This window comes from Homo sapiens, chromosome 2 (assembly GCF_000001405.40).
Source record: "Homo sapiens chromosome 2, GRCh38.p14 Primary Assembly".
Lineage (NCBI taxonomy): Eukaryota > Metazoa > Chordata > Mammalia > Primates > Hominidae > Homo > Homo sapiens.
In genome coordinates this window covers 240,691,167-240,708,287 of record NC_000002.12, presented here as the reverse complement: position 1 = coordinate 240,708,287, position 17,121 = coordinate 240,691,167, and the positions used below count along the sequence as shown (strand labels likewise).

At 59.2% G+C, this 17,121-nt stretch overlaps 1 protein-coding gene across 1 annotated transcript, besides 2 other annotated features; it reads right to left on the bottom strand.

Annotated features, from left to right (window-relative positions):
• Window positions 628-787: a silencer, noted in NCBI's record as "fragment chr2:241646918-241647077 (GRCh37/hg19 assembly coordinates)". NCBI's record gives its function as "represses an EF-1alpha promoter that drives an FKBP-Casp9 reporter gene in an ReSE screen in K562 erythroleukemia cells {active_cell/tissue: K562}" and the evidence as "EXISTENCE:reporter gene assay evidence [ECO:0000049][PMID:32094911]".
• Window positions 9,054-9,837: an enhancer, noted in NCBI's record as "H3K4me1 hESC enhancer chr2:241637868-241638651 (GRCh37/hg19 assembly coordinates)". NCBI's record gives its function as "activates a minimal SCP1, AML or CMV promoter by ChIP-STARR-seq in naive H9 embryonic stem cells {active_cell/tissue: H9 hESC(naive)}" and the evidence as "EXISTENCE:reporter gene assay evidence [ECO:0000049][PMID:30033119]".
• AQP12A (aquaporin 12A) lies at window positions 9,805-16,422 on the bottom strand. Its single transcript, NM_198998.3, has 4 exons — window positions 16,252-16,422; window positions 15,767-16,214; window positions 13,739-13,855; window positions 9,805-10,131 (listed from the first exon to the last, which is right to left on the bottom strand). Exons 1-4 carry the CDS (start codon window positions 16,372-16,374, stop codon window positions 9,932-9,934), a joined length of 888 nt encoding a protein of 295 aa, NP_945349.1. The 5' UTR covers window positions 16,375-16,422; the 3' UTR covers window positions 9,805-9,931.
• Between the last annotated feature and the right edge of the window lie 699 nt (window positions 16,423-17,121).

Here is a 17,121-nt window from a genome sequence, read left to right as displayed (position 1 = left end):
AAACTGTACCTAAGCATAGCCAGGTAGCCAAGGAGCAGAGGTTTGTCTTTGCAGAAGTATTTTTCCTATAAAGGAAGAGAGAAGGTCATCCTAAAACCCCATGGCTGTGTAATCCCCAACACACGAGCAAATGAATGAATGAATGCGGCTAGGCAGTGACATCACCAAAGACACAGCAGGGCAAAATCTACCTCTGGATGGAATGGCACAAGCCCACCTGAGGGGTGGTTTACAAAAACCTGGCACTGAAGCTGATCACGTGTCCAGATCCGGCTGTAAGAAACACGGGGGAGACAGGCTATGCCGACAGACACTGCGGGATGCCTGCATCGAAACCCAGACGTGGGAGACTTCACTCACAAACGACCTCTGCTCTTCAACAGATAAATTACAAGATGAGAAGGTGAGGGAAATAGGTTAAAAGAAATTTAAGAGACCTCATGTGGATCCTCAATTTTTAAAAAGTTAACAACATTAGGTGAGTGCCTTTGGTGCGTAAAGAGCTTGGCAGTCACGAAGCTCATCCTTACAGCAAGAAAAGCTGACAAACCTGAAAATCAGTGTTTTCTTTCACCGATCAAAGCTTTGAGCTTGCAGGGCATACTGCAACCCCAAACTCTGAAGAGACAGCACAGAGTCTCAGCGGAGACCGGCGCCCTGGAGCAAAAGCCACTGGAGCCGCTGCTGGCAGGAGGCCCTAGATGGCAGTTCTAGTGAATTGCTGGAGGCTGTGTGTGGACCAGCTGGAGAGAGAGAGGGTCCTGCACCCCAGACTGGGGGGACGCTCATGTGCTCGTGGGTTTTACTACCATGAACCCCACCAAGTTCTCAGAGAGAAGAGCAAAGAAAAATCCCCTCATGTTCCCATCAGGGGGAGGGGCAGAGTAATCATCTCAAAACATGCCGAGAACTTCCTCCACAGCAAAGGACTCTGGGGTGGAGGTGAGAAGGAAAAACGAGAAAGAGATGGGAATTTCCCCAGCTTGGTGAAGAACATATACAAAATCCCGCAGCTGGCATCACACTTAACGCCCGAAACTGGCAGCTCCCCCGCTTAGACTGAGGGAGGGTGATGGTGTTCCCTTTCAGCACTCCTTTCCGCATCCTACTGGAAATTCTAAGTGCAACCAGACAAGGAAAGGGAATAAGAGGTATACAGGCTGGGAAGGAAGAAATGGAAGTATCTTTCTTTGCAGACGATAGAGTTTTCTGTGTAAAAAATGCCAAAGAATTGACAAAAAAAGAAAAAAAACTCCTGGAACTAGGAAGTGAGTACAGCAAGGCCACAAGATACAAATTAATACACAAAAGTTAAATAATTTATAACTATTGTGTATTGCTTTCCTATAAACCAGCAATAAATCATTGAAATTTTAAATAAAAATGCCTTTTATAATAGCATTAAAAAAGAAACAGAAATAAGTAAGTATAAATCAAATAAAATATGTAGAGGATCTGTATGTAGAAAACTACAACATTTCTGAAAAGAATCGAAGAACATCTAAAGGAATGGAGAGACATTCTGTGCTTACGGATTGGAAGATTCAGTGTTGTTAAGATGTCAGTTTTTCCTAGTTGGTGCTATAGATTCAATGCATTCCCAGTCAAAATCCCAGCAAGCTAATCAGATACTGACACACTGATTCTGAAGTTTATACGCAGAGGGGAAAGACATAGAATAGCCAACACATGAGAAACAAAAATCATGTTGTAAGGCCTCCAACTGACTGAACAGATCCCTTCTTGGCCAAGGGGACCCAAGAGAAACCTTGAAAGCTGAGTTCCCGGCCACGATGGGACAGGAGGCCAGACACACCTTGTTATACCCTCTTCCTCACCAACTGCCACTGGACGTTCTTTCCTAATTGGGGAACAGAAACCAGCCCTTTTGAAAGACTTGCCAGACCCCTGATCCCTTTTTCTGGTTTCAATACAACAACCAACTAGCATCTCTTCCCAGTAAGAGACCACGGACCATGGACTGGTCTGGCCGTGTGTCCTCTGTGTCACCTCTTGACATACAGGGGCCTACATTTTCTTTTTCTTTTTTTTTTTTTTTTGAGACAGAGTTTCGCTCTTATTGCCTAGGCTGGAGTGCAACGGTGTGATCTCGGCTCACTGCAACCTCCGCCTCCTGGGTTCAAGTGATTCTCCTGCCTCAGCCTCCCAAGTAGCTGGGATTACAGGCATGTGCCACCACACTCGGCTAATTTTTGTATTTTTAGTAGAGATGGGGTTTCATCATGTTGGCCATGCTGGTCTCGAACTCCTGACCTCAGGTGATCCACCCGCCTCAGCCTCCCAAAGTGCTGGGATTACAGGCGCGAGCCACTGCTCCTGGCTGGGGCCTACTATTAATGCACTGAAATGAAAGTCTCTGCCCCAAAGGGAACATGCATGTAGCAGGCATGTGTGCTTACTATGTGTGCGTGTGCTTCCCGCTTCATGAATATTCATAGCTCCTCCTAAATTCTGTTCAATATGTGTATGTAGACAACCTGTTCAGCATAGATTCCTCTCCCACTTCCCACTGTTAAAGTGCCTTTTTCCAGTTTCTGCCAGAGGCTATGCTTCCCAGCCTGCGATGGCCAGGCTGCAGGCTGCAACCCTTCGTAAGAAATGAAGCTCTCCTCTCAAAATCAAGAAGCCTGTGATCCGTCAGCTGGCACACAATACTGAGGAACAAAGTTGGAGGACTCACATGACCTGACTTCCTGACTTACTGTAAGGCTTACATAGTCAGGATCATGCAGGATTCACAAGACTGGTCCTATCGGTGCACCAAACAGAGTAATAGGGAGCCCAGAGGAGACCCACACCAATGGCGCCAACTGGTCCAAAGGAGCAAAGGCAAGTGAGTGGAGACGGGGAGTCTTTCCAGCAGAAGGTGCTCCGACAAACGGATGCCCACATGCAGAAGGAGGCACACACAAAGCACCAGAAGGATGTGGTCACAGACCTCCCACCTTCTACAGAGGTTCAGCCAAAAGGAATCCCAGACCTAAACGTAAAACGCAAAACTACAAAACCGTTAGAAGAAAACATTGGAAAAAATCTGGGTGATCTTCGGTTAGGCTCTGAATTATTTAGATAAAACACCAAAAGCATGATCCATAAAAGAGAAAATCAGTAAGATGGACTGTATAAAATTTAAAATGGTTTGCTCTGCAAAGGGAATGTAAGGAAAGCCACAGACGTGGAGGAAAATCTTTGCAAAATACACACCGGACAAAGGACTGGCATCCAAATATAGGAAGAATGCTTAAAATTCAGCAACAAGAAAACAAAGAGCTCAATTAAAAAGGAGGTAAAAAATCCAAACAAACCTCATCAAAGAAAACACACAGAGAGCAAGGAGGTAAAAAATCCAAACAAACCTCATCAAAGAAAACACACAGAGAGCAGAAAGCACAGGAAAGATGCTCTGCACCGCGTGTTGTGAGGGAGCTGCGGACTGAAGCCGCGGTGAGAAGCCTCTGCACACCCACGGGAATGTGGGGCACCCACCTGACTGACGACATGGAGGCCCGGGAGCAGCGGCAGCCCCGCGCCTGCGTCCGGCGGGAGCGCCACATGGCAGAGCCGCCTGGGGGCAGCTCGGTGTTTCTCACAGAAGTCGCCACGGCCCCACACAGACCCCAGTGTCACAGTCCTTGGCAGACCCAGCTGATGGGAAAACTCCCCAGAAACAGGGTGTAGGTGGTGAGGATCTAAAGAGGAGGAATCAGGGGGGCTGGGCTGGGGAGGGGCTTGTTTGGGGGGCACTCCCTCATGCACAGAGAGTTCTGGAGGGTGTCAGGGAGAGAGGGGTGAGTTAGAGGGCTGGGGTTGGGGCACAGTGGGAGGGAGTGGGGAGAAGTGAAGGGTCAGGGTGGGAGGGTTGGGAGAGGGGGTCAGAGAGGCATGGTCAAGGGCTTGTGGAGGGAGGTGCAGTGGGGTCTGGCCGAACCTCACAGAAGGGCCCCCGCTAGCCACACCCCCCGTGGTGGGACGACTCTGCTCTCTGGCTGGACAGGACCTGCTGGAGCCACCTGAGTGGCCACAGTGGTCACTGAGCAAACCTCAGACACCCAGGGAGCTGCAGCATGGGCACCCCGATGAGCACAGGCCAGCCCCTCCTCCCCACCCGCTGCACTGGACAGACTGCTGGAGGTCTGGGGCCAAGGCATGGAAGGAACGGGGAAGATGGTGTCCTGAGGGCCAAGGACAGGGAGGAAACAGCCCCTCCTAGAACCCTCAGCACCGGCCGACTTCACTGCTGAGTGACCCGGAGCAAAACCCTCTGTGTCTCAGAGCCTCACTTCCTGCCTCACAATGGTCAGGTGAGACCCATCCCAGGGAGCTGAGGGTTGGGTGGGGCAGAGAAAGCTGAGGTGCTGTATCTGGGGGCTTCAGCAGAGGGTAGGCCCCATCCCTGGCCCCTGAGCCCTGCCCCTCTTGCGCGGTGGCCAGGTCAGTGTTATCGCCAGCCTCCTCCTCCAAGCAGGCTCCCCTCCTCCCTCAGCTGTTGCCTGGAGACCAGGATGCCCCGTGTATCCATCCCCAGCAGGTGCCGAACAGGGTCCCCATCCTGCAGCCCACCCTGGTGGGGATCCCCCAGGAGAAGCACGACCTTCCCCAGGGCCTCTCTGAGGGCCACCTGTGCCTTATGGGCTCCCAGCCCAGGAAAGCAAGGCCACAAGCCAATATTTGCCCAGGCAGGCATGCGCCTGACCCCTCTGCCTGCTTTTCCACCCCAAAGTCTGTGCTGCTGATCTCCCGAGCTGGAGGAGCCTGCGGGTGTTCCATATGAATCATGGGCACTCAGCCCTCCTGGAGGCCAGCCCCTGCCTAGGAAGCACTGCTCTCCAAATCCCTCTCTCCCTCATGCACAGTTCCACCATTTGGGAGTCACTCCTTTAGCTAGATCACAGTGTCTCCAAAAGCTGTAAAGGTTACACTTAAAGACACCAACACAGGGCAGGTGTGGGCCCTGATAAGAGGGTCGGTCTGCCCAGGTGAGGCAGATATGAGGCTCGGTAGCAAGGCTGGGTCTAACCCCTCTGAGGAGGCAACTTCCCAGCAACCTGCCCGGCTGAGGCAGCAGCTAAGTGGGCTCACTGATGACATCCCCTGGAACCCAGGTCATTTCAGCCATGAGAAGTGGACACTCAGAGATGTACTGAGGTCCCCTGGCAGTCACCCTGCAGACCCTGTCTGAAAGCCTGGACTTCAGCCCCTGGGTTTCGGGGAGCCAAGGAGGGTCTTGAGGAAAACGGGCACAGTGAGATTTCAGTGTGACTTAGATGGGGCTGGACAAGAGGGGCAAGACTGGAGGGGTGACCAATTAGGAGGGAATGCGGGAACGTGGGAGACAGGGGGCGGCCTGGGCTTGGGCCGCCAGAGGGAACAAGGTCAGGGAGGACCCTAGGGGTGGTGAGATTTCAGGGGAGGGCAGGGGTGAGTGTGACCCCCACGTGTCTGGCCTGGCTGCCTGGGTGGCAGTCCTGAGCCTGAGGACATAAGACAGACTTGGTCTCGTGGTGACTGGGGTGGGGGACATGGGGACTCCGAGTTCAGTTGGGAGCTGCAGAGTTCACGGCTTCTGCAGGGCACCCCCGGCCATGGCAAGGAGGCAGTGGGGAGGTGACCATGGAGATGGGGGGAGTGTATTGGGGTGGTGACGATGGTGACGGGGGAGGTAACCATGGTGGTGGGGGGAGTGCACTGTGGCGGTGACGATGGTGACGGGAGAGTGCAGTGGGGAGGTGACCATGGAGATGGGGGGAGTGCAGTGTGGAGGTGACCACAGTGACCAGGAGAGCAGTGAGGTGGTGACCATGGTGGCAGGTAGGAGTGCCACGGGGTTGGGTGAGAACACTTTGTGTGGAGGTCAGAGGGGTGGGAGGAGGGAGGTCCTAGGGAGGGAGAGGAAGGGTCTCCTGAGTAGCTGAGGAGGCTCTACGAGAGGGTAGGGGGCTGGGAGCAAGAGGCCAGGCAGGGCATGGCCATTGCGGCAGATCCTGACCCAGGGCCACTGTGGAGAGGAAGCGGCCTCTGGTGCCTACAGAGGGGAATGGCTGACACCCTGGACATGGCCAGCTTTGGTCCCTATTCCCCAGACCCTGGGACCCTGCAGCCCTCTCCAATAATTTAACCGCCTTTGCGAGGATGCCACTGGAGGCGACCTCCACAGCCCACTCAGGTCCCTCCGAGGCAAAGCCCGGTGGATCCCGTCCCATTGCAGAGGGGGCTGGGGGGCTGGGTGGAGGGTACTCACTCCCAGTTGCTTGCCTTGGAGCCCTTGGAGCGTCCCCAGAGCCAGCAGCCCTCCTAGGCACACAGGCCCTTCCCCAACAGGTGTGGCGGGTCCTGCCCGGAGACACCGCCTTCACCACCCTGCGGGACCCGGCCCGCGTCCTGGAGTCCACCTTCTCCTGGTACAAGATGGCCTCGCCAGAGAGCCCAAGCCCGGAGCCTGCGCCACTTCCAGGGCCACACCCGCACCTTCTATGAACCCCGACGGCCAGACAGCCACTAGGGCCTCAACTTCATGGCCTTCGACCTGGGCTTCGACCACAGTGCGCCGCCGCCTGGCCCCGAGGGTGGAAGCGGTGGCCACGCGCTTCGATCTGGGGCTGATTGCCCAGCACCTGGATGAGTCCCTGGGGCTGCTGCGCCGCGCTGTGCTGGGGCCTGGATGACCTGGTGACCTTCCCCGTCCAGTGGCGTGCGGCCTTCGCCCAGGAGCCGCTGGAGCAGCGCGTGGAGCGCAGGGCGCGCGCCTAGAACGCGCTGGACTTGGCGCTCTGTGCACACTTGAACCTCACGCTGTGGGCGCGGCTGGGTGCCAGGGGGGCTGCGGCCGGAGGTGGTGGCGCTGCGGGCCCGGTAGGCGCGCACCTGCCTCCTGTATGGCGAGGCCTCAGGGCCGGGCGCGGAGCGTGACCCGCGGCTGGCGCCGCAGCAGCACGGCCTGGCGCCCATCCTGGGCTACCGGCTGCGGCCAGACCCGGACCAGGCCACCCGCCGCCATTGCCAGGACCTGGCCACCCCAGAGCTGCAGTTCGCCAGGCGTCTGTACCTGCGCCAGTTCCCGGAGCGGGTGTGGGATCCGGGACGCCCTTGGGGAGCAGAGCTGCAGGCCAGGCGGCCTCGCGCGGCAGGCCCAGGCCCAAGGGAAAATGTGGGTCGTGTTCAGAGGCGGGCGGGGATCCGTAGGGCCCTGGAGCAGAAGGGCGCGCCCTCAGCCCCTGTTACATGGGACCCCACAGGGCGGGCGACGGTGGCCAGGAGCCCCAGCCGAAACTGCTCCGTCCCGGCTCCCTTTTCTGCACATCCTTCAGTAGTTACGGGAAACCTGATTTTACCAACTTGCTTTTCTTTTCATCTACTTGAAACGCAGGTAGGTTGCCCGAGGCAGATGCACGATTCCAAGTCACTTTGGCAGTTTTTAATGTGGAGAAGGCTCTTTCTGCAGAGGGAACGTTGCGGAGCTGCTGGGAGTGTCTCATAGGCTGTGGCGACCTGGGAAGCTGCTCTGCGGAGCCACCGGAGGCGCAGATTTCAGCACATCGAGAGCAGATGAGCGGCTAGTCCCAAAACTGTCCGCGCTTCAGACAGATGACTTTCGCAGAAGTTTGAGTGTGCTTGTAGATGCAAATCTATCGTGATTATGTTTCCTCGGACGTTTCCTGTGCTTGTGGAGCTCATAGGAGAGACTGAAGGTGAATTCACGATTGCACACAACTTACAACATCTGTTTGTGGATTCCATCAGTGTATCTTCAACTGTAAGAAAAATTAATTTCAAAACTTCTGCATTAATACCTGGATACTCCAACATCTTATAGGAAAATTGTGCTTGTTTCTGTCCAATGCAGTGGCCCTTGCTTCAGGGTTTGTGGATTTTGCTGAGAATTTCGAGATTGTCAGAAAGAGATTCTAAGCTGGAGTAATTCTAACAGCTTCCTGGTTATGTTACTGGGATAAGGCTGTGTCTGCTCCTCCCATGCTCAGTTACTGATACAGTTACTGCCTGAGCACCGGGACCTCCACTCCTGGAAGGATCTGTGCAGAGGCTGCAGGCACTGGTGGCAAAACAGACACACCTCCGGCACCCAGGGGCCTCGTGCTGCCACCGGAGGAGGATCCCCTCTCCTTCCTGGGGCTCCAACCCCTGCTGCTGCTTCTGCTGCCATGTGACACCCAGGCATGGCCAGGCCCCCACGCAGAACGTCTGTGAGGGGAGCTGGTTGGCCCCACCCCATCGGCTCCCCTGTGTGCTCAGCAGCCCTTTGCCTGGCAGGGTCTGGCAGCCCCATCGGGGCCTCTGGATGCCACACAGGACTGGCTCTCAGGCCTGTCCCATGGGATTCCTGTCTCCAGTCCACAGCAGGGAAGAGGAGCCTGGGGCTCCAGAAAGAGCCAGCTCTCTGCCTGTGTGGGAGGGGGCTTTCTGGCGGGGAGGAGGGTGTGTGTGTGAAGGGGCAGCTTCGGGGAGGAGGGTGTGTGTGTGAAGGGGCAACCTCCGGGAGGGGAGAGGATTCTTCTTTCTCTCCCTCCACCAAACGCTCGTCCAGGAAAACGTGGCCTCACCGGCATCCCCAGGGAGAAGCCCACGCACCATGAGACGGGAATCATACAGGGTGGTCAGAGGGGAGTGGAAGTTCCAGGCAGCCCCTTCTCATCTCTAGCAAAAGGAAACCCTGCAGCAGCGAGTGGCTGACAGGACCCAAAACACCGGGGTGTGGCCGTGCTGGCTGAGACCGCCTGGACCCCACAGGGCTCTGGCTGTGCCCCGGTGTCTCCCGCGACCTCACGGTGCGCTCATTAGCACACTCGTCACACCCCCACCAGCGCGTGATGGCTCCAGAACACCCAGATTTGGTGTAAGAAGTGGGCGGCGCCGCAGCTCTGAGACATCTCCACGTTTTCCAGGAATCCTGTGGATTCCTCCAGCCCCAGCGCCCCTGCCCGGGACGGGACTCTAGAGGGCGCCACACTCCCTTTCTCCAGTGGGAGCTTTGGGCTTCGCAGGAAATCTCTGGTCTTTCACTATTTGCCAACTCGCCCCTGAATTCCTTCTCACGATGGTGTCAAGAGCCTGGACGCTGGCCGGGGTGGAGGTCTCACTGGGGTTGGGGTGTCCCGTAGCCCCCCGCATCGAGGACATCTCCCTGCTTTCTCCTCTCGTCCTTCCCCCATAGCAGAGCGGCTGGGCCCAGGGCTGCTGCCCACCAGAGGACGGGGTACAGCCTGTGGCAGGAGCACCGGCCACCTCACTCCCTCCCTCTGGGTGGGGCAGCAGGACCCATAGCAGAGGGCCCTTATCTCCTTTGGGTGGAAGTTTCCAGACCGGCTCTGTTCTTTGGGAAGGAAATGGCTGGAGGTGCCATGCCTCCAGGTCCCAGTTCTGCCACCAAGGTCTCAGTGATTGACCTGGCTTTGGGCGGCGAGCGGACCATGGTCCTGACGGTCGCGAACTCAGGGCCCGTGGGACTGGGTGCCCTGTGCCTAGTTCACAAGCCTACAGCCTCAGGCTCCAGCACTATCCTCAGCATCCCATCGGGTCTCAGGCCTCCGTGGCTGTGGGCTCCCTCCCGGGCATGTCCAGGGCTGCAGCATCATCTTGGCAGACTTGGGACCTGGCGGACTCCCTGGGCTCTTCCCTGTCATCCTGCCCTTTCCTCTCCTGCTTCTTCTGTAACAAGAGGCAGGAAGGAGCCCGCGGGAGATGAGGAGACTCGGACCAGCCTCACCGTGTTGCCGCACACCCTTGCCTGCCCCTCCAGAAGCCTCTCTCGGGCCCAGGGGGACACACAGGTCTTAGAAATGGTTTATTGACAAATGGCTTCTGGGGAGGGGGCCAGGATTCCCTCTTAGCTACAGAAGGTTCCAGGGTCCAGCTACAAGCAGGGCCCTCGCACGGGGCTCACACAGAGCAAGGCCACTCAGCTGGAATGTGGCCCCTCAACACCACTGCGCCCAGGCTCCCGGACACTGGACCCCTTTGCAGGGGTCTGGGTGTCCCCTGAGGCCGGGGCCGGCTTCCCTCGGGGTGCTCGGTACTTGTTCTTCTGGCCGTAGAACAGGTTCCTCTGGAAAAGGTGGGGAAGGCGGCCCTGGTGCAGCAGCACAGCCAGGACCATCCCTGCAAGAGAAGGCAGGTCCCAGGTGGGCCGCGGGGCTCCTGGGCCCAAACACAGACAGGACACCCACTCCCAGGCCTGTGCCAGGACAGGCGAGCCAGGCAGCCTGGCCAGGAGCCCCAAGAACCCTGAGGCCCAGCTCCTGCCTGGTCCTGGTCTTCCCGCCCTGGTCATGCCCCTCTCTCTGGGTATGCCAGCCATGGGGACGGGGGCAAGCCGGTGGGGTTCCTTGTACTTCTGGACCACCCTCTGGGATGAGTGACTGGAATTCCCCTCCCCCCACATTGTCCTGAGCCACTCCCAGAGCTTCTGTGGCCATTTTCCTCCGGGACCTGATGTGGCGTCCCAGGGTGGCTGCTTGCAGGGCTGTGGCCTGGCGTAGAGGTGGGGGATGTGAGTGGACAAGAAAGATGTGGATGCCCCTGGGTGGGAGGCTGGGCCTGGCTAAATCCTCATGCGAACGTTCTCCCAGAACTCCAGGAGCAGAGACTCCTAAATCCCCGCCTGCCTTCCAGGTCATTGGGAAGGGCAGGTGTTCCGGGCAGAAGGGGAGAGTAGATCCTCTTCAAGTTTGATCTCACTCCTCTAAGGATTTAACCCACAGTGTGTGAGCTCCACTAGGGCTGGCCTGAGGGGGCCCTGCCTGTCACCACCTGCAGCTGCTGTGGCTCCTGACAGTGGCCCCTGTGCCTACAGCTTGCCTACAGTTGCCCCTCACTCGGCCCTCCAGGCCCACACTGGTCCTAGCTCTGTTCCCAGGAGGGCAGGCCCAGGGAGGCGGGATGACCTGCTCAGGGGTGCTGCCAGCAGGTGCCGGTGGCCGCTCACACCCAGGGAGATAGCCCCATGTCCACACCTGGCTACGGGGCTCCTGGCTGCAGCCTTGGAGCTCCCCAGGGCTCATGCTGATACTGAACTTGTGGATAAAGGGGTTAATGGAAGGACACAAGCCTGTTTTTCGGTTTCCTGAAGCTGCCCTAAGATGACAGGAAAGGGATGCTGTCAGAGGTGTCAAGCATCCAGATGGATGAGACGGGAAGAGACGCAGGAGCACAGCGTGGGGCTGACAAGCATGTGGACGACCAAACACTGCTGACATGGAGGGGCCGGATCGCCCCTCCGCAGGGACGAAAGCTGGGAAACAACCCAGTTCTTCCGCAGATGCCCCATGCTTTCAGAAGCTGGCGCCCGGGTCCCTGTGGGATGGGGTGGCCCTGGGACTCGCCTAGGAGGAGGGACGGCAATTCCGCATGGGAAGCTCCAGGGCCCCAAACCCCAAAATACAGAAGCAGCCAGTGCCCCCCTCCCTGGCCCTGGCAGGAGACAGGTTCCTCTCTAGAGGGGGCATGTGGACTCGAGTATCAGGCCCGCCCAAGCCTGGAGTCCCGCCTGAAACACGGATCCCAGCCTCCTCCTACTTGGCTCCTAGAAGCCGCAAATGCCCTTTGGGCTTCTCCACAGAGGCAGTTCTACAGTGAGAGGTTGCAGCCGGGTGAAGAGTATTTCCCCAGCGACACGCCCTTCCCAGAACACAGGATGTGCCCTTGTTAGAATACGGCCTGGGACATAAAATCAGTGAAATCACGGTGACGTCATACTTGAGTAGAGTGAACCTCCAATTCAATGACTGGTGTCCCTATATGAAGAGAACAGACAATGACACAGAGGAGGCGGCCAGGGGAACCGGCAGACATGGGAGTGCTGCGTCTCCAAGCCCGGGGACACCGGGGGTGCCAGAGGCCCCCGGAGCCCGGAAGAGGCAGGAGGCTCCTCCCCAGCAGCCTCCGAGGAGAGCTGACCCTGTCAGTGCTGCCAGCTCAGACTCCAGCCTCCAGAGCTGGCTGAGCATACAACCCTGTCACGTGAAGCCTCTTCGTTTGCGTCCTTTGCCTTGTAGCCCGTGAAGCCACCACAGGCCATGGTTGGGGCCTGAGAAACTCAGGACGAAACTGAGCTCCCACCCGGAACCCTGCCCAGGCCTCACCGACACTCAAGTGCAGGTCAGAACCAGGACACTATTTCAGACACAGGAGGTCTGAAGTGTACCTGCCAGGTCCCCGTTCTCAGGAAGCTACTGTGAGACGGGCACCAGCAAAAAGAAGGAATCAACCGAAACAGGAGGCGATGAGGAAAGCAGGAAACAGAAATACAACCAGGATCAGTGAAGGGCAGCACCATACCGGAGATGGACGCCTGCGGGTAACCCGGAGCTGCGGATCCTCGGGGGAGACGCTGCCCACACAGAGCACTGGTGCTGAACTAAGGAAAGCACCCAGAAGCCTGGGCAGGAGAGAGTCCAGGACCTCGTCACCCGCAGGAAGCAAGGCCTGTGCAGGAGCGGAGAGGCCTCCGGGGCCACCACAGCTCACCCGGGCCGTGTTTCCATGCCAGGGAACTAGAGGGGGCTCTGGAGCTGATCAGGAGGAAGAGGCCGACCCACCCGGAGTGAAGGATCCGCAGGAGGAGCGTGGGGAGGCAAGGAAAGAACATCCGCCCCCCACATCCCAGGAGACAGCCCAGGGTTGATACCTGAACTGAAGAGTCTCGGAGAAGCCCTGCAGGCCCAGTGTGTGGGGACAGAGAGGCCAACACGGAGCTGTTCCTAGCAGAGGGCAGTGCTGCCTCGGCAACGGGGGCAGGAGGGGGTTCCTGATGCACTTCATATGCTTCCTAGGACCCTGCACATGCCTGAGAGACTGTGACCACATCAGAACCATGGCGACAAATCACGATGACGTCAGTGTCACCATCGCAGGGCCAGGTGCCTGAGAGACCCCCAGCTCCTGTCTTTCCCCCCAAGGGGAGGCTGAGGCATTGCCCCTGAGACCTCCCCAGTGTAGAGCCAGCAGAAGCTGAAAAAAGCTTCCAGAATTCCATAGGAACCCAGCTGCCCTTCTGGTACCTCAGTGAGGTGGAGCCGAGTGTCTGAGAGCAGGTGCAGGAGAAGGTGTGGGCTCCACCTGGGCCTCTGAAGCCAGGGGCCAGAATCCCCAGATCTAGGTCCAAGAGGGGGCTCCATGACCTCCCCATGCTGCTCCTCTGCTTGGATCCAGGATATAAGAAAGGAGGGGCACACACTGTGGGGGAACTCTGGGGTCCCCTGTGTGCATCAGCGAGTCCCGGGTCTGCCCCACCAGGATGCAAAGGGCCTGGCTGCTCCAGCCCCATGCTCACAGCCCTATAAGTGCACGATGGCACCCTATATCATCTAAGCGGGGCTCTCTGCCTCCTGAGGCTTTAGGGACACCAGAATGAGCCCCCCTCGGCGGAGTCTGGCTCTGGGTGTGTGGAGATGCCACCTGGGACGGGAACCCCAGGTGCATGGAGCCCCACTGCAGACACCATCCCCCGTGTGCCCAGCACCCCTTGCAAGGTTGGCCTTTCCCCAGCCTGTGGCCTCCTTACCTGGCTGCAGCTTGCTCGGCACCGGGACGGTGTCCACAGTGAGACATGCCGTCACAGCCCCTACCCCCGAAACCATGCCCACTGCAGAGACCTCCCCAGGAGCACTGACCAGGCACCCTCACCTCCACCCTGCAGGACCCCACGTGCCAGGATGCTCTGTGGGCCCCAGCAGCCCTAGGGACCCCACCCTGCCCCTGCCCTTACCTGTCAGAGGGCCCAGCCAGTACACCTGCACGTACTCCAGTAAGGTGTGTCCCGAGCAGGCAAAGGTCACAGAGGCGGCCAGGGCAGGGTTGAAGAAGGCAGACGTGAAGGGCCCGGCTGTGGGCAGAGCACAGACAGCCCTGGTCCCCAGCCCTGCCTGACGCCCCTCTGCAGGCCAGGACCTGATCCCCGCCACCGAATCCACACCGAGAGCCCCACTGTGTGCAGGCCTGGGAGCTGCTCTCGGCTCCTGAAGCCCCGCCTGGTCCCCCGCACCGATGGACACACGATGCAGCAAGGCCGGGTCAGCCAAGGTCTGGGTCAGGGGCAGCAGCTTGGGGGCCCCCCAGGGCCGTCCAACACCCTCGCGACATCTCACCGGGATCCCGTGCCCCGCCCATGCTGCCCTCCAGCACCCCACCCTGTGGGATGTGGCCTTCGAGAAAGACGGACAGAGAGAGATGGAGAGAGACACTAAGAGAGACAGATAGTGAGAGAGAGACAAAAAGACACAGAGAGAGACAGGGAGACAGAGAGAGAGGAGAGACAGAGAGAGAGAGGAGAGACAGAGAGAGAGAGGAGAGACAGAGAGAGAGAGGAGAGACAGAGAGAGAGAGGAGAGACAGAGAGAGAGAGGAGAGACAGAGAGAGACAGGGAGACAGAGAGAGAGGAGAGACAGAGAGAGAGAGGAGAGACAGAGAGAGAGAGGAGAGACAGAGAGAGAGAGGAGAGACAGAGAGAGAGAGGAGAGACAGAGAGAGATCTCAGAAATAAACGAGCAGCAGCAGAGGAGAGAAGACGACATGGCTGTGCGATGTGAGACAAGGGAAGGCGGCGGCAGCCGGGCCGCTGTCCTGCAGCCCCAGGCCTGGGTGACCACCCCAAATAACAGAATCCACCAATACCGGGGACCTGCCTCTGGGCACGGAAGAGCAGGGAGTGGGCCTAGCGGAGGGCAGGGACCACAGGGACATGGAGTCTGCGGCCGCCCAGGTGTAAACCAGGACCCTGAGGATGGGCAGCTCCGTCCCTGAGACCAGGCGCCCTGTGCCTCGTGGAGGCAGGACCCTTGACGGGAGCTCTCCGGTGCCACCCAGGACAGAGGCCCGGGCAATCTGCCACAGAGCCGTGTCCCTGCAGAGCTCCCGCTCACCCGTGCCTCAGTTTCCCCATCTGTACAGGGCTCTGGTGGCACCTTCCTGTGGCCTTTGTGGTCCAGATTCCGTGGTGTCTGCCCAGTGCTGGGTCGTGGGCAGTGCCATGGACCTAAGTGCTGGTCCTGTCCTGATTAGGACCTCGGACCCCCGGAAGGAGACCTGGCACCATTCTCCCTGCAGCCCTTCCTGTGGTGCCTGGAGCACGAGCCGGCTCCCCTGGCTCTCCCTGCAGCCCCAGCGCTGTGGACACCTGTCCTGGGAACTTGCTGAGCAAAGGCTTTCGTGGTGGTGGAGCCTAGCGCTCGGAGGGGAAAGCAGACATGGGGGACTGGATCAGACGGAGGGTCTGAGTGGAGGGAGCTCACAAGGGGGTGATGGGACCATGAGAGCTGGGTGCCACGGTCGGTCCAGGTGCAGGCAGAGATCGCAGGATGCAGGTGTCAGTAGGAGGCCAGGGAGGCCAACTGGGGCAGGTGAGACAGGACCTGTCGCTCTGGAAGGGGTGATAGAGGGTGCAGGGACTCCCACACCAGACCAGGAAACTGGGCTGGGCCTTGAATCGTCTGCCTCGGCTGTCCCTACTACCCCAGAGGCAGAACTTCTGGGAGGACCAAGAATAGCTGCGACTGGGGAGAGGTGCAGTGGGCAGGATGGCCCTGGCAGGGGACAGGCTGCTCCACCGCACCCCATGTCCAGCGCAGGCCCTCGTCTACCCGCCAGATCCCAGGAAATCACCGCCTCTTCTTGTGGGTTTGTTGGCCACCCGGGCCAGCAGCCCCCTATCCTGGGTGCAAACGGGCCTGAGTGTGCATGGAGGCCACACAGGTGAGAGGTCCTCAGGGGCCCAGGGGAAGGGGAAGCAGTGCTCACCCGTGTAGGCCGTGACGGTGACCAACAGAGCCACAGCGGGCCCGCTGTAGGCGGGAGGACTGTGCCGCAGGTGCAGGAGGGTCAGATGGAAACAAAAGGCGCAGGCGGCCTCCACAAGCGCCCCGTGGGGCACGGATGTGCGCAGGGCCGAGCTGCAGCTCTGGGCCATGAGGCTCTGCAGCAGGTGCAGGTCACTGAGCTCCCAGGCCCAGCAGAGGCGCATCAGGGTGCAGGCGGCCTGCATGCCCAGCCCCTGTGCCGCCAGCTTCAACAGCGTGCCAGGCAGAGACTGCTCGGCCATGAGGAACTCCTGCAGGGACACAGTGGGGTTGGCCGAGGCCCCGTCCAAGGTGACCCCGTGCGCCAGGAAGAGCAGGAAGAGCAGGGTGAGCAGCAGGTCAGGCCCAAAGTCCCCAGCCCAGGGCCCGAGCTCGACCAGCGTCCTCATCTCCAGGCAGCAGGGCCCGAGCTGCACCCGCACCCACCGCCTCCCGGGCGAAGACTTCATAGGCGCCCACTGGGAGCAGGGCCTTGGAGGCCCGCCTGGCCGCCTCACAGAGGGCGAAGGTGGCAAAGAAGAAGGAGAGGGACACGTTAAGACCTGCCATCGGCCTGGGCCCCCCGAGGAGCTGTGCCTGCAGGACACCTGAGGGGACAGAGCAGGAGCTGGCTGGTTCCCACAACCCAGAGGGCCCAGGCGTGTGGGAGAGGGCACCTGGGCCTCTGGGAACACCACAGCTGCAGCCCCAGCTCCCGCCCCACTGGCTGCCACCCAGGTGCACAGCCAGGATGGCCACAGGGGCCCTGCCCCACAGCCTGGCATCATCCCGTCATGTGACACACCCGGACCCACTGGCCACGCTCGGCCAGCCCTGGGCGCTGGAGACTGGCCCAGCTCTTCAGAGCCTCCATCCGAGCTCCGCTCCTCCTACCTGCGCTCTTGGGTACCGGACCCCAATACCTGCTCCCTGCACCTGGCCCCTCTTGAGTCAGGGTCTCCCAGATCCTGCACCCCCTCCAGGTCCCTGCCTGAACAAGGGCCCCCATTTCCGCCTCCCTGCATGGATGCTGTGTCCCCATCTCAGTGAGGGCCCCAGGCTTATTGCACCTGCACTGTGTCCCCACTGGGGTGAGACCCCCACTGAACCTGCACTGTGTGTCCGCCTGGGAGGCCCCTCATGGCCCCTGCACCTGTTCTTTGACCCAGCCTAGGTGAAGCTCCCTCCTGCCTGCACCTGTAGATGTCTTCCCTTGAGTGAGTGCCCTCTGCTCCCTGCACCTGGCTGTGTCCCCAGCTAGGCCAGGCCCCCTGCACGTGGGCTGTGTCCCTGCCTATGGGAAGGTCCTCTCATTCT

Coding starts and splice junctions, on each gene's coding strand:
- AQP12A (NM_198998.3), bottom strand. CDS start 16,374: ATGGCAGGTCTTAACGTGTCCCTCTCCTTCTTCTTTGCCACCTTCGCC. Junction 16,215..16,251: donor AAGTCTTCGCCCGGGAGGCG/GTGGGTGCGGGT, acceptor TGCTGCCTGGAG/ATGAGGACGCTGGTCGAGCT. Junction 10,132..13,738: donor CTGGCTGGGCCCTCTGACAG/GTAAGGGCAGGG, acceptor CTTCTCTTGCAG/GGATGGTCCTGGCTGTGCTG.